Source organism: Homo sapiens, chromosome 7 (genome assembly GCF_000001405.40).
Source record: "Homo sapiens chromosome 7, GRCh38.p14 Primary Assembly".
NCBI classification, from domain to species: Eukaryota; Metazoa; Chordata; class Mammalia; order Primates; family Hominidae; genus Homo; species Homo sapiens.
In genome coordinates, this window is record NC_000007.14 from 80014626 (window position 1) to 80027467 (window position 12842).

At 38.9% G+C, this 12842-nt stretch overlaps 1 annotated feature.

The window, feature by feature from the left end:
* Positions 5141–5646: an enhancer, noted in NCBI's record as "H3K27ac-H3K4me1 hESC enhancer chr7:79649082-79649587 (GRCh37/hg19 assembly coordinates)". NCBI's record gives its function as "activates a minimal SCP1, AML or CMV promoter by ChIP-STARR-seq in naive H9 embryonic stem cells {active_cell/tissue: H9 hESC(naive)}" and the evidence as "EXISTENCE:reporter gene assay evidence [ECO:0000049][PMID:30033119]".

Below are 12842 nucleotides of genomic sequence, written 5' to 3' on the forward strand. Positions count from 1 at the left end.
AATCCATTTCTGCGGAAGCTCATCTAGTCTTATGAGAGCAAGAACTGACTCACTGCCAGGGAAAATGAAACTAAAGCTTTTATAAGGGATCAGCCCACAAGACTCAAAGACCTCCCACTAGGTACCACCTCCTAATGCTCTCACATTGAGGATCAAATTTCAACATGAGTTTTAGTGAGAACAAAGTATATCCAAATCACAGCATGCTATAAATATTTTTAAATATTTTATCTCATTGGAGTTTTTAGGGAAAAACCAGAAGGAAATAAACATTACCAAAATGTACTTTACTCATACTATTTCGTTTGTTTCATATTTACTTTCAAATTTCAGTAGTTAAAAACTTTTTACTGGCAAAAGTACCACATAACAAAAAGCAAAGTTATTACACTGCACTAGTTGTTATTTACGTTTAGTAAGAGATAGCTCAGGTGAATAAGGTTCTGCTAAAATAGTGAGGAGACTTTAAGATAATTCAAAACTATTCATGTTATTGGTTGTGCTCTCTAAGCAAAGCAAATAAATCTCATTCTAAACTTAGAAAAGCAATATTACAATTCCCTTTATCTTTTTGCCTTTTCCCTATCAAATTTCAGCATTACAGTTCTCATAAATACTTCTGAAGTCTTTCTTTTATTTACTGTGTTTAACACAGGAAAAGAGAATTTAAAATCACTAATAAGCTTTTCTGTGTGTTCCTAAGTAATTTTTAATCTCTTTGGTATTTTCTTTCATTTGATGATTTAAACTAACCTATTGATAAAGGCTACCATTTGTAGTATGTGTTTATGTGTATAAGAATATTATGAACCTTTAAAATTTTTCTATTTCTAATCATCAAACATATAATAACTCTTTTTTTTCTTTTTTGAGACGGAGTCTTGCTCTGTCACCCAGGCTGGAGTGCACTGGCGCGACCTATGCTTACTGTAACCTCTACCTTCTGGGTTCAAGCAATTCTCCCTGCCTCAGCCTCCTGAGTAGCTGAGATTTCAAGCACCCGCCACCATCCTCAGCTAAGTTTTGTATTTTTAGTAGAGATGGGGTTTCGCCATGTTGGCCAGGCTGGTCTCAAACTCTTGGCCTTAGGTGATTTGCCACCTTGGCCTCCCGAAGTGCTGGAATAACAGGTGTGAGCCACCATGCCTGGCCATAATAAGTTTTGCCCAGGGTTTAACTTCAATATAAAACCCGTTTCCTTACCAAATTGTTTTCAGAAATAGATTCAAGATAATAATACACCTTCATGAGCAACGTTTAATTTAAGACTAAGACTGATTTGGGGGGCAGCATTGAATTGTTGATAAGGGAAAGTGGTGATGGAATTGGAAGAGCAGCATGGGAGATTTGTTGGGAAGGGCCTTTTTTTGGCTTACCCAGAATATGCCAGAATGACAGTTTCTACGACCATTGAAAAGAGAATATTGAAACCAACCAAGAAACTCTGAAGATCTCAATGCTTATATTACAATGTCAGCCCTGACACTCACTGACATATTGTTAGCATTCAGGATATCTAGCAAAGATGTGCTAACTTTTCATCCCAGTCTATTCTAAGGATCCGTAAGTAGCTAGTAAATATAATGCTTTAAGAGCATTTTTCCCAAGGAATATCCCACAGTATCTTCATAAATATTCACTTGGTATTCCTTCAAAATTAGTTTCTCAGCAAGATTTCTGCTTCCTTTTTAGCAAATATATTTTTTATGAATGTTTTTAAGAGGAGAGTTATAGTGTCACTAATTCAGAAGTTGCCTATTATAAAGGAAGGAGAGAGAAAAAGTCAGCCTCAGAAAACTTTTGTCTTTTGCTTACAGTAAGTGATATTCATACTCCTCCAATTTTGAAAAAATAATCTAACAATGATTGTCTATCCTAGGCTGCTTTTGGATATACTGTTAGTTTCTAAAGCATCTCTGTTTTTTGTTTGTTTGTTTGTTTTTTGTTCTTTGAGACGGAGTCTCGCTCTTTCGCCCAGGCTGGAGTGCAGTGGCGCGATCTCAGCTCACTGCAAGCTCCGCCTCCCGGGTTCACGCCATTCTCCTGCCTCAGCCTCCCGAGTAGCTGGGACTATAGGCGCCCACCACGGCGCCCGGCTAATTTTTTGTATTTTTAGTAGAGACCGGGTTTCACCATGTTAGCCAGGGTGGTCTCGATCTCCTGACCTCCTGATCCACCCGCCTCGGCTTCCCAAAGTGCTGGGATTACAGGCATGAGCCACCGCGTCCGGCCGCATCTTTGGTTTTTAAAAATCATTTTTTCTGCGTTTATATCCAAGAGTAACGTTCCTTCTTCTTCTACGTATCTCATTACTGAATGAGGTCTAGCTTAGGAGTATAGAAAACCCAGAGGAAAAACTGGCAATTAAAAATCCCAACAAGAGAATGCTGGATAACAACACTTTTTTCTCTATAAACCACTTTATTTTAAATTTGTGAATAGTACTGACCTACACTAAGCTTCGTAGAGTTTTTTAAATACTTGTCTTTTTAAAAATAGAAAGTCACCAATGCTTCAATTAATTGTAAAATTCCGAGGTGCTTCAAATTTTCTAGTGAAAGTTAAAAGTGTAAACATATTTTCAAAATTTACCTGTTTTTTCCCTGTAAAATAAGTGATGCCTTGGCAGAGAATATGCATTCTTGCCCAAAGTGCCTACAGTTTGCCTGACTCACTCTGCCTGGGATAGTTCCATCCTGAAGTTCAGTGAGCTCTGAATTTTCACTCTGCAAAGTAAATGAAAAATTTTGGTGTAACAGGCAGAGATTTTGCCACCAACCATCTGTTTGTATTAATTGGATTTGTGAAATGAAATTCCTGCATGGTTTAATGAGAATAATATGCTAAAAACCTCGTTGAACTCCATCTCATGCAGACAGACTTCACCAGACAAAGGATGTAAAACCCCTGCTATTCCTCAGCACTCTGGGCCTTGTAATTAGTGACATGCATGGCAACAACACACCCAGCATGCCTGTGCTTTTCACTTTGGGTTGTATAGTTGCAAATGAAAAATAGGACCCATATTTTGTCAATAAAATTTATATTTGGGGAAATATAAATTATTATAACTTATAAATATTAACCATTCCAGGGCATAAGACTCTGCAAAATGACCTAATTCACAAACATTTTCAGTCTTTAATAAATTTATGATGGATAATTTTAAGTAGTTTACCATATTAGAAATTTATAATGTCAGGCAATACATTTTTAATAGTAAAAATGTGTTATTTCTGAGATAATGCGACATATTGTTCCTTAGCATAAAGGCCTAGATCCAGTAGTTATCATCACAAAAATAATAATCACAATAATCACATGTATTATATGACTTTCATGCTACGGAGTTTTATGATCAATATGTAACAGATAATCTGTTTTCTATGGAATTCTCTAATTATAGATTTTAAGAATATTTTAGTAAAATTTAAAGCATCCATTTCTGCAATATTAGTAAAATTGAAGGATAAGTGAATTTGTGCCTGTCTGTTGGAAGCTTAGTGGCCATACTTAATGACTCATTGAAATTATCCATTAATGAGTCCTGAACCAACTTTCTGAAAACAATTACTTTGACGTTACTATGCTAAGTGAGGAGGATGCAAAAGTGAATAATGTCTAGTAGTCACTGCCCTAAGTCTGTTAAGAGAAACACATGTATAGAGCAGACATTCACAATTCAATACAGTGTGCACAAAGTGATGTTGACGTAGGGAATCAGAGACTGTTTTCCTGTAGATTCTATGAGGATTATATCATATGGAGAGAACAGTTCAACCACAAAGGAAAAAAAGGGTGTATCACGAAGATAATGAAGATATTTCATCATTGAATAACATGCATGGACCATATCAGTATGTCATATGATATTACATACTCTTTCCTGGTAATAATAATATTTCCAGGTAATTGAAGCCAGGAGAAAAATTGTGAAATTTGAAGATAAAATTATAAGATCAATAACTTTCTTTTTTGGCACAGAGTAAAAGGCAGATATTGGCAATCTGTAAGTATTTGTTGAATAAAAGAATACACGTTACACATTTTTGTATAAAATGGATCATTTAAGATTTGCAATGAGCCTACAAAAGACATAAAGAGACACAAAAAAGAGATAAAGAACCTACAAAAGAGATAAAGCATTATGACCTCCATTTGAGATAATACAGTTTAAGATAACAGACTTTAAAAGAATCAACCAAGATCACCCATATAGTAAGTGACTGAGTAGGGACTCAAACATGTTTTGATTTCAAAGGCAGCCACTTTCTATCACATAATACCCCTTCTACCTACACTTTGTTTATATATTCAAATTTCAAGATGTCTGGAGAGCAAGAAAATGTGTTTAGGACAAAGATAAGCGAGAAGTAGAAACCCTACTTTACTTTGAAATTTATCGCCAAATCCCCTATCAAAATCAGGGATAGCTTCATGAACACATGTAGTATGCAAGAATATATGTAATGTAATTCAACATCGGAGTCACTTTCCTCTAAGCAAAGAACTCTTGAGTCAGAAAACAATGACTGTAACACTGAGAAAGTAAGTCCTTGAACATTTTCTTAGTCTTTCTCCAATATGAAAATTCACTTATCAGATTAGTCCTGTTAACACTGTCTAAACAACCTCAGAACGCTTGGGAGAGACAGAATCACATTCACAGGGGGTTCATTGTAGTGAGGGTCTCAGTGATAGTGGAATATATATAGATGAGCGTTGAGAGCGCCACCTTGTGGCCAACATGGAGGAAGACAATCTGGCAGGAGAGCACCATAGGTGGCCAGGAAGTCAGGAACAAGCACAGATGATGAAAGTTTGAAGGTAGGTTGGGGGACGGGGAGGAAAGGCAAAAATGGAAAAACTCATTATTTTACTTATGCCTCGTCATACTTAAAGCCTGGGCTTTAAAAGAGAAGTGTAGGCATGGGACTATTATATTTTCCAATATTTTCCCCAGACTGTTTTAGAGTTTTAAAGAAGCCATAATCCATTGTGCTTCAGAGGAAGAATATGACATAGTGATGTAATATCTGAGATCATGCAGTTACTTGTAAAATTTCCTGTGTCATGGCCACAGTTTCCCAAGTTAGACCAGAACGAAAGTTACCAAGAGTAAAGCAGTGGATTGCTTTGCTAGTAAGTTCTCTAGTAAAATAAACAAGAAAAACTGTATTTTAAAAATAAGATAGTAGGACTCACAGGTAATATGGCTGAATAGGAACAGCTCCAGTCTGCAGCTCCCAGCAAGACCAATGCAGAAGGCAGGTGATTTCTGCATATCCAACTGAGGTACCCAGCTCATCTCACTGGGACTGGTTAGACAGTGGGTGCAGCCCACAGAGGGTGAGCCAAAACAGGGTGGAACGTTGCCTCACCTGGGAAGCACAAGGGGTAGGGGAACTCCCTCCCCTAGCCAGGGGAAGCCGTGAGGGACTGTGCCGTGAGGGATGGAGCTATCCGGCCCAGATACTACACTTTTCCCATGGTCTTCATAACCCACAGACCAGGAGATTCCCTTGGGTGCTGACACCACCAGGGCCCTGGGTTTCAAGCACAAAACTGGGCAGCCATTTGGGCAGACACCGAGCTAGCTGCAGGAATTTCTTTTGTACCCCAGTGGAACCCGGAACGCCAGAAAGACAGAACCCTCCACTCCCCTGGAAAGGGGGCTGAAGCCAGGGAGCCAAGTGGTCTTCCTCAGTGGATCCCACCCCCACAGAGCCCAACAAGCTAAGACCCACTGGCTTGAAATTCTCGCTGCTAGCACAGCAGTCTGAAGTCCAGCTGGGACACTCAAGCCTGGGGGGAGGGGCGTCCACCATTACTGAGGCTTGAGTAGGCGGTTTTCCCCTCACAGTGTAAACAAAGCCTCTGGGAAGTTCAGACTGGGCAGAGCCAACCACCGCACCGCAAACCCACTGTAGCCAGACAGCCTCTCTAGATTCCTCCTCTCTGGGCAGGGCATCTCTGAAAAAAAGGCAGCAGCCCCAGTCAGGAGCTTATAGATAAAACTGCCATCTGCCTGGGACAGAGGACCTGGGGGAAGGGGTGGCTGTGGGCACAGCTTCAGCTGACTTAAACATTCCTGCCTGCCAGCTCTGAAGAGAGCAGAGGATCTCTCAGCACAGCACTCAAGCTCTGCTAAGGGACAGACTGCCTCCTCAAGTGTGTCCCTGACCCCTGTGCTTCCTGACGGGGAGACATCTCCCAGCAGGGGTCAACAGACACCTCCTATAGGAGAACTCCAGCTGGCATCTGGAGAGTGCCTCTCTGGGACAAAGCTTCCAGAGGAAGGAGCAGGCAGCAATCTTTGCTGTTCTGCAGCCTCCGCTGGTGATACCCAGGCAAACACGGTCTGGATTGGACCTCCAGGAAACTCCAGCAGACCTGCAGAAGAGATGCCTGACTGTTAGAAGGAAAACTAACAAACAGAAACAATAGCATCAACATTGACAGAAAGGACAACCACTCAAAAACCCCATCTGAAGGTCACCAACATCAAAGACCAAAGGCAGACAAATCCACAAAGATGAGGAAAAAACAGTGCAAAAAGGCTAAAAATTCCAACGACCAGGATGCCTCTTCTCCTCCAAAGGATCACACCTCCTCACCAGCAAGGGAACAAAACTGGACAGAGAAGGAGTTTGACAAATTGACAGAAGTAGGCTTCAGAACGTGGGTAATAACAAACTCATCTGAGCTAAAGGAGCATGTTCTAACCTAATGCAAGCAAGCTAAGAAACTTGCTAAAAGGTTACAGGAAGTGCTAAACAGAATAACCAGTTTAGAGAAGAACATAAATAACCTGATGGAGCTGAAAAACACAGCATGAGAACCTAGTGAATCATGCATAATTATCAGTAGCCGAATCAATCAAGCATAAGAAAGGATATCAGATTGAAGACCAACTTAATGAAATAAGGCTTGAAGACAAGATTAGAGACAAAAGAATGAAAAGGAACAAAGCCTACAAGGAATATAGGACTATGTGAAAATACCAAACCTACGTTTCACTGCTGTACCTGAAGGTGACAGGGAGAATGGGATGAAGTTGGAAAACACACTTCAGGATATTATCCAGGAGAACTTCTCCAACCTAGCAAGACAGGCCAACATTCAAATTCAGGAAATACAGAGAACACCACAAAGATATTCCTTGAGAAGAGCAACCCCAAGACACATAACCGACAGATTCACCGAGTTCGAAATGAAGGAAAATATGTTAAGGGCAGCCAGAGAGAAAGGTCAGGTTACCCACAAAGGGAAGCCCATCAGAGTAACAGCAGATCTCTCTGCAGAAACTCTACAAGCCAAAAGAGAGTGGAGGCCAAAATTCAATATTCTTAAAGAAAAGAATTTTCAACCCAGAATTTCATATCCAGCCAAACTAAGCTTCATATGTGAAGGAGAAATAAAATCCTTTACATAAAAGCAAATGCTGAGGGATTTTGTCACCACCAGGCCTGCCTTACAAGAGCTCCTGAAGGAAGCACTAAATATGGAAAAGAAAAACTAGTAGCAGCCACTGCAAAAACATAACAAAATGCAAAGACCATCGACACTATGAAGAAACTGCATCAACTAGTGGGCAAAATAACCAGCTAGGATCATAATGACAGGATCAAATTCACACATAGCAATATTAACCTTAAATGTAAATGGAATGAATGCCCCAATTAAAAGACACAGACTGGCAAATTGAATAAAGAGTCAAGACTCATCGTTGTGCTGTATTCAGCAGACCCATCTCACATGCGAAAACACACATAGGCTCAAAATAAAAGGATGGAGAAATATTTACCAAGCAAATGGAGAGGAAAAAAAAACAGGAGTTGTAATCTTAGTCTCTGAAAAAACAGACGTTAAACCAACAAAGATCAAAAAAGACAAAGAAGGGCATTATATAATGGTAAAGGGATCAATGCAACAAGAAGAGCTAATTATCCTAAACATGGATGCACCCAATACAGAAGCACCCAGATTTATAAAGCAAGTTCTAAGAAACCTGCAAAGAGACTTAGACTCCCACATAATAATAGTGGGAGACTTTAACACCCCACTGTTAATATTAGGCAGATCAACAAGACAAAAAATTAACAAGGGTATTCAGGAGTTGAACTCAGCTCTGGACCAAGCGGACCTAATAGACATCTACAGAACTCTCCACCTCAAATCAACACAATATACATTTTTCTCAGCACCACATTGCACTTATTCTAAAATTGACCACAAAATTGGAAGTAAAACACTCCTCGCAAATGCAAAATAACGGAACCCTCTCTCAGACCACAGTGCAGTCAAATTAGAACTCAGGATTAAGAAACTCACTCAAAACCACACAACAACAGAGAAACTGAATGACCTGCTCCTGAATGACTACTGGGTAAATGACATAATTAAGGGAGAAATAAATAAGTTATTTGAAATCAGTGAGAACAAAGACACAATGTACCAAAATCTCTGGGACACAGCTAAAGCAGTGTTTAGAGGGAAATTTATAGCACTAAATGCCCACAGGAGAAAGCAGGAAAGATCTAAAATCGACACTTTAAATCACAATGAAAAGAACTAGAGCAAGAGCTAACAAATTCAAAAGCTAGCAGAAGACAAGAAATAACTAAGATCAGAGCGGAACTGAAGGAGATAGAGACACGAAAAACCCTTCAAGGGATCAATGAATCTGGGAGCTGGTTTTTTGAAAAGATTAACAAAATAGATAGACCACTAGCCAGAATGATGAAGAAGAAAAGAGAGAAGAATCAAATAGACACAATAAAAAATGATAAAGGGGATATCACCACTGATCCCACAGAAATACAAACTACCACCAGAAAATACTATAAACACCTCTACACAAATAAACTAGAAAATCTAGAAGAAATGGATAAATTCCTGGACACATACACCCTCCCAAGACTAAACCAGAAAGAAGTTGAATCACTGAATAGAGCAATAACAAGTTCTGAAATTGAGGCAATAATTAATAGCCTTCCACTAAAGAAAAGCTCAGGGCCAGAGAGATTCACAGCTGAATTCTACCAGAGGTACAAAGACGAGCTGGTACCATTCCTTCTAAAGTCTTTTTATGAAGCCAGCATCATCCTGATGACAAAACCTAGGAAACATAACACAAAACACAAAAAAGAAAATTTCAGGCCAATATCCCTAATGAATATTGATGTGAAAATCCTCAATAAAATACTGGCAAACTGAATCCAGCAGCACATTAATAAGCTTATCCACCATGATCAAGTGGGCTTCATCCCTGGGAAACAAGGCTGGTTCAACATGTGCAAATCAATAAACGTAATCCATCGCATAAATAGAACCAATGACAAAAACCACTTGATTCTCTCAATAGATGCAGAAAAGTCCTTTGATAAAATTCAACACCCCTTCATGCTAAAAGCACTCAATAAACTAGGTAGTGACGGAACGTATCTCAAAATAATAAGAGCTATTTGTGACAAATCCACAGCCAATATCATGCTGAATTGGCAAAAGCTGGACGCATTCCCTTTGAAAACCAGCACAAGACAAGGAAGCTGTCTCTCACCACTACTATTCAACATAGTATTGGAAGTTCTGGCCAGGGCAATAAGGCAAGAGAAAGAAATAAAGGGTATTCAAATAGGAAGACAGGAAGTCAAATTGTCTCTGTTTGCAGATGACATAATTGTATGTTTAGGAAACCCCATCCTCTCCGTCCAAAAACTCCTTAAGCTGCTAAGCAACTTCAGCAAAGTCTCAGGATACAAAATCAATGTGCAAAAATCACAAGCATTCCTATATGCCAATAATAGGCAAACAGAGAGCCAAATCATGAGAACTCCCATTCACAATTGCTACAAAGAGAATAAAATACCTAGGAATACAACTTACAAGGGATGTTAAGGACCTCTTCCAAGAGAATTACAAACCACTGCTCAAGGAAACAAGAGAGGCCACAAACAAATAGAAAAACATTCCATGCTCATGTATAGGAAGAATCAACAATGTGAAAATGGCCATACTGCTCAAATTTATAGATTCAAGCTACCATTGATATTCTTCACAGATTTAGAAAAAAACTACTTTAAATTTCATGTGGAACCAAAAAAGAGCCTGTATAGCCAAGACAATCCTAAGCCAAAAGAACAAAGCTGGAAGCATCATGCTACCTGACGTCAAACTACACTACAAGGCTACAGTAACCAAAACAGTTTGGTACTGGTACCAAAACAGATATATAGACCAATGGAACAGAACAGAGGCCCCAGAAATAACACCACACATCTACAACCATTGATCTTCAACAAACCTGACAAAAACAATCAATGGGGAAAGGAGTCCCTATTTAATAAATGGTGCTGGGAAAACTGGCTAGCCATATGTGGAAAACTAAAAGTGGATCCCTTCCCTACACCTTATACAAAAATTAATTCAAGATTGATTAAAGATTTAAAAGTAAGACCTAAAACCATAAAAACTCTAGAAGAAAACGTAGGCAATACCATTCAGGACATAGGCAAGGGGAAAGACTTCATGACTAAAACACCAAAAGCAATTGCAACAAAAGCCTAAATTGACAAATGGGATCTAATTAAACTAAAGAGCTGCTCCACAGAAAAAGAAACTATCATCAGAGTGAAAGGCACCCTACAGAATGGGAGAAAATTGTAATCTATCCATCTGACAAAAGGCTAATATCCAGAATCTACAAGGAACTTAAATAAATGTACAATAAAAAAACAAACAGTCCCATCAAACAATGGGGAAAGGATACAGACACTTCTCAAAAGAAGACATTTATAATTTATACGGCTAACAAACATATGAAAAAAACTCATCATTACTGGTCATTAGAGAAATGCAAATCAAAACTACAATGAGATACCATCTCATGCCAATTAGAATTGTAATCATTAAAAAGTCAAGTAACAACAGATGCTTGAGAGGATGTGGAGAAATAGGAATGTTTTTCCACTGTTGGTGGGAGTGTAAATTAGGTCAAACATTGTGGAAGATAGTGTGGCGATTCCTCAAGGATCTAGAACCAGAAATACCATTTGACCCAGCAATCCCATTACTGGGTATATATACCCAAAGGATTATAAGTCATGCTACTATAAAGACACATGCACACATATGTTTATTGCAGCACTATTCACAATAGCAAAGACTTGGAACCAACCCAAATGCCCATCAATGATAGACTGGATAAAGAAAATGTGGCACATATACACCATGGAATACTATGCAGCCTTAAAAAAGAATGAGTTCATGTTCTTTGCAGGGACATGGATGAAGCTGGAAACCATCATTCTCAGCAAAGTAACACAGGAACAGTAAACCAAACACTGCATATTCTCACTTATAAGTGGGAGTTGAACAATGAGAACATATGGGCACAGGAAGGGGAACATCACACACTGGAGCCTGTCAGGGGGTTGGGGGCAAGGGGAGGGATAGCATTAAGAGAAATACCTAATGTAGATGACGGGTTGATGGGTGCAGCAAACCACCAAGGCACGTGTATATCTATGTAACAAACCTGCACGTTTTGCATGTGTATCCTAGAATTTAAGTATAATAACAAAAATAAAAAGATAGTAACAAACTATAGTAATGATCCCTGAAAGTATGTTTATTGCAACACTATTTACAAGAGCAAAGACTTGGAACCAACCCCAGTGCCCATCAATGATAGACTGGCTAAAGAAAATGTGGCACACATACACCATGGAATACTATGCAGCCATAAAAAAGGATGAGTTCATGTCCTTTGCAGGGACATGGATGAAGATGGAAACCATAATCCTCAGCAAACTAACACAGGAACAGTAAACCAAACACTGCATGTTCTCACTCATAAGTGTGAGTTGAACAATGAGAACACATGGACACAGGGAGGCAAACATCACACACTGGGGCCTGTCAGGGGGCAGGGGAAAAGGGGAGGGAAAGCATTAGGACAAATACCTAATGGAAGTAGGGCTTAAAACCTAGATGACAGGTTGATAGGTGCAGCAAACCACCATGGTACATGTATACTTATGTAACAAACCTGCACACTCTGCACGTGTATCCCAGAACTTAAAGTAAAATAAAATAAATAAATAAAATACAAAAATAAAAATAAGAAATACAAAAAAATACTCACCTGTCATAAACTGCTAAAAGCAAGTTAAGAGTGAGTTGTATTCCGGAGCAACAACTCCTGAGGACTACTTCCAAAACCGATGCATTCCAAAAGCTTTAAATGTTGTGATGAGACTGGAACTGCTCTTTGACAACTCTCAATGTTTGTCACTCTGCTGAGATTTCAAACTGGACAGGGCTTTGACTCACTATGAAAAAATGCAATGTTTTCATTAATGTATTCAAAAATATTTATTGGTTTACTAAGTAACCAACCGCATGCTAGGTATCGAGATTATAAAGAAAAAAAAGTCTTCTCTGCAATAAATTCACAATCTAGTGAGAAAACAAGCACATAAGCAAACTATGGTAGGTATAGTAATGGAGTTTCAATGAATTTTAAATGCATAGAACATTGAAAAACACAGACAGTAGCACCTAATCCAGCATGATTGGTCAGGGCAGGTTTCCTGGAGGACAATATACTGAAACTGAGCCTTGTAAAATGAATAAGCTTTTCTCCGACAGAGAGGAGGGAAAAAGAGGCTTCCCTTATACCCCTTATGAAAGGGGTAAATATTTCCAACAGTAGCAATGTTAATCACCATTGACATTTCCTGCTTGTTAAGTGATCGGTGCCTGAATGCTGAACACAACCCACAATTGCAAATGTTGCTTTGAGAACAAGATGCAAACAAGAAAATGGTAAATATAAG